The 3,964-nt window shown below is 40.3% G+C and overlaps 1 long non-coding RNA gene across 1 annotated transcript; it reads left to right on the forward strand.

Moving 5' to 3' along the window:
- Positions 1-486: 486 nt before the first annotated feature.
- Positions 487-1,296, forward strand: LOC107986388 (uncharacterized). Its single transcript, XR_001742524.1, has 3 exons — positions 487-656; positions 798-970; positions 1,229-1,296. It is a non-coding gene; the product is annotated as an uncharacterized LOC107986388 (long non-coding RNA).
- Positions 1,297-3,964: the final 2,668 nt, after the last annotated feature.

Raw genomic sequence — 3,964 nt, forward strand, 5'->3', positions numbered from 1 at the left:
CAATGATTAAAACAACCTTTATAGGTAACTGCTTTTCTGCCTGGATAACTAAAGAAAATATTACATTTTACAAAATTCTACTCCCTACCCCTGCTCCTCTCTGAAAGGGTATCTTGGTGTATAAGGTAGCATGTTGTCTTGCACTGGTTAGACAATAAGAGGGGCTTTCCAACGTGTGTGGTTCATTCTGGATTCTTGAAGTCTCTGGCTGCAGAGAGGTTGGACTAGCTGTTCCCTGGGCTGGTGACATTCAAAAAGCCACTGCAGCCATCTGGCTGTCCCATTATGATGTGCTGGCACCCACCCACCACTGTGGTGTCAAAATCCCCCACATATGATCACTTCTGTACTCTGCCCCAAGATCTGATGGCTCACCAGCCATATCAGCAGCCATTTCCCCTTATTGAGGCACACAGTCTATCTCCTGTGTACATGCTATGGAGGAGGAATAACATTGTCCCAGGCTAATAAATCTAGCCCTTTTCTGCCCCCTCAGTGTCACATTTGAAGTGGTCTGCTTTGAGGCTTCTCCTTGAGGGTAGTAACACCCCCTTTAGTATGCCAGTAAAAGCCCACTGTTAGTTCCTTTGTTCTAAAGCTTCTAATACTTGAATTTCCAAAACTGCTCCCTCCTTTGGAGCCAGACTCTGATTAAGGTAAGGTGGAAGATGCTAAGAAGGAGAACTTTGATTTTTCATCCTTTTTTCCTCTGTGTGTCTCTCCTTTCCCTTCCCCGTAATTTCTACAGACCATAAGGAGCAGTATTTCAGTTCTATCATGTCTTCCTTTTACTCTAGGGCAGCCAAGCTTGTGGTCTAGAATCCTAGCCAGAAAAAGATATAATTTCTACATTATGGAGAATTCTTCATGATATGGATTCCAAAGGCCTGATTTGATTTACTAAAGAAATTTTCAAAATTATATCTCTTCTTAAAAAGCTGGCTTTCTTGATATGTTCTCAAATAAAAATGTAAGTGTACAATAAGTTCTGAATAAAGACCCTCTTGTTCTAGAAATTATGCACCATTCCCCTGTAGCACAAAAACTCAAAGTGTTATCTGGTGGGAAGTCTCCAAGAAACTAGAGTGATAAAATATAGCAATATACATATACACAGAAATACTGTTAAAAATATTATCCACATTATATTTTGGCCTCAGATTTTGAGAATATAAGAGTGTCAAAAGCTTTGACATCATGGCTTTATCTTCTTCACCACACCTTCCAGGCTGAAGAGAATCATGAGACCCATGACAACTCAGACTCTTGACCCACCATGCTGCATAATGGAGAGCGGGCATCTGGAAAGTCTTTTGAAAAGCTAAGCTGTGTCTCCTAGTAATGGGCAGTGTCATCTAATTAGTGACACATAGCCATCTAAAGCACAGGAAACAATTGGACTGCCTGTAAGAATGAAGCATGGGGTCGGGCACAGTGTCTCAGGTCTGTAATTCCAGCACTTTGGGAGGCCGAGGCGGGTGGATCACGAGGTCAGGAGATCGAGACCATCCTGGCCAACATGTGAAACCTGGTCTCTACTAACAATACAAAAAAATTCACTGGGTGTGGTGGTGCATGCCTGTAGTCCCAGCTACCCAGCTAATCAGGAAGCTGAGGCAGGAGAATCGCTTGAACCCAGAAGGAGGAGGTTACAGTGAGCCAAGATCACGCCACTGCACTCCAGCCTGGTGACAGAGTGAGATTCCAGCTCACGAAAAGAAGAAGAAGAAGAGGAAGAGGAAGAGGAAGAGGAAGAGGAAGGAGAAGGAGAAGGAGAAGGAGAAGGAGAAGGAGAAGGAGAAGAAGAAGAAGAAGAAGAAGAAGAAGAAGAAGAAGAAGAAGAAGAAAGAAGAAGAAGAAAGAAGAAAAGAAGAAGAAGAAGAAGAAGAAGAAGAAGAAGAAGAAGAAGAAGAAGAAGAAGAGGAAGAGGAAGAAGAAGAAGAAGAAGAAGAAGAAGAAAGAGGCATGGTTATTTGCATCTTCAAATAAATTACTATATGAGGTGGTCACATGACAGCCATCATCAACCAGATGCAGTGAGAGTCCTTAGAAAGCATCTGGGGGGGCCGGTCGCAGTGGCTCATGCCTGTAATCCCAGCACTTTGGGAGGCTGAGGCGGGTGGATCACAAGGTCAGGAGATCCAGACCATCCTGGCTAACACGGTGAAACCCCGTCTCTACTAAAAATACAAAAACAAATTAGCCGGGCGTGGTGGTGGGCGCCTGTAGTCCCAGCTACTCGGGAGGCTGAAGCAGGAGAATGGCGTGAACCCGGGGAGCGGAGCTTGCAATGAGAGGAGATCGCACCACTGCACTCCAGCCTGGGCGACAGAGCGACAATCCGTCCCAAAAAAAATAATAATAATAAAGAAAGAAAAGAAAAGAAAGAAAGCATCTGGGAATCAGCATCGGCTGCCAATTACAAGCGCAAATAGACACAAAGGTTGGTGAGGACGGAGCAAAGAGAATTTTTTTCTTTGGAATTGCAAAAGCCTCTGTTCCAATAAAGTGTAGTCACCTGCTCCTTAGGAAAGATTTACAAATCTTTGAAATTGCAGAGAAATACTGTCACTGAATCAGGGAGAGATAGAGAAGAGATGCCAAAGGAATGGCCTAGGACTCAAGGATATTCGGAATATCTGGTAATGGTCTCTTGTGTTTATGAGAGAAGAAAATGTAGTAGTTTTTTTATCCCTTTCCTTGGAAAGATTTTGGCATTTAATACACATTATATGATTTTTTTTCTGTCTTTTCAAATCAGGATACTACAAGGTCATACACGTAGTCATAATTTATGTAGTCATGCTAAGTGGGCTCTGAATCTAATCCTCCCCTAGCAAATTATCAGTTGAATTTGGTTTTCTCTGTTTATCTAGGAGTTGCAGGGCCATTCGGGATGGCTGCATGCTCATAGGAAAATAGGAAATAGGAAAATGATGCAATGAAAGCAACTTTTGCCTAGGTGGGGGAATTAAATTCCTGCACAATATCTTGAAAATTAGAATAAGCAAGTTTGATAATTATCCTTTTTGTCCCCATGAATTGTGAACTTAATCAGAATAAGCACCTTCCTTTGAAAGGTATTTCTAAGGTCATTCATGAAGTAAAAGCCTCATGAGCAAATCTTTCCTGGAGCATCTATGGACAGGCCAATATTAAGGGTAAAAAATTATTTCAAGAAAATCTAGATCCTCTTCCCTTCCCAAAGTGAAAATGATATTGATCCCTTGTGGACAACTGAATCAACCAAATATTAAAGTCCTTGGAATAAAAGATTTATAAATCTATCTCAAACACCTAAATATTTTTGCCTAGGGAAAAGAATTATTATCTATAAAATTATTTAAGAATCTATGAGTTATTTTATGCATTCGTTCAACAAATACTCCTGAAAAATTACTACATGTCATACATTCTTCCAGGTTCAGGGAACACAACACGGCAATATACAAAACATAGAACTCCATGCCCTCTTAACACTAATGGAGTTCCCTATCTCATGGTTGCTGCTGCAAAGCTTAGAGAAACATTGCCACTTTATTTTAAACAACTGTGTAAGACGTGTGGCAATACATTTTGTTAACGAATTTCACTTGTGGCTCTCTCTAATTTTCCTACGTTTTCTTTTTTTGTGAATTTCCATTCCTTATTTTCACTTTATTTTATTATATTGTTCATAAACCACTGAAAATTCTCTTTTGGAAAAAAGTGAAAAAAAATACTAAGTAAATTCGCTCATCCTAAGATATTACTCCTGAGCTTCATTTGAATCAGTTTGTCTAGATGTGCCTTCTTTGATGGCCCACAAGCATCTCAAATTATGAAGACAAAGTCAACCATCTTTTTTGCAAAATTCTATTAACTTATCACTTATGTTCCATAGACTGCTAAAGTCACCATCATCTAATAAATTGACCTAATACAGAAACTTATGTGTCATCAAATCCTTCCCTTCTTTATGCAA

The sequence above is a fragment of the Homo sapiens genome, chromosome 5, assembly GCF_000001405.40.
Source record: "Homo sapiens chromosome 5, GRCh38.p14 Primary Assembly".
Taxonomy (NCBI): domain Eukaryota; kingdom Metazoa; phylum Chordata; class Mammalia; order Primates; family Hominidae; genus Homo; species Homo sapiens.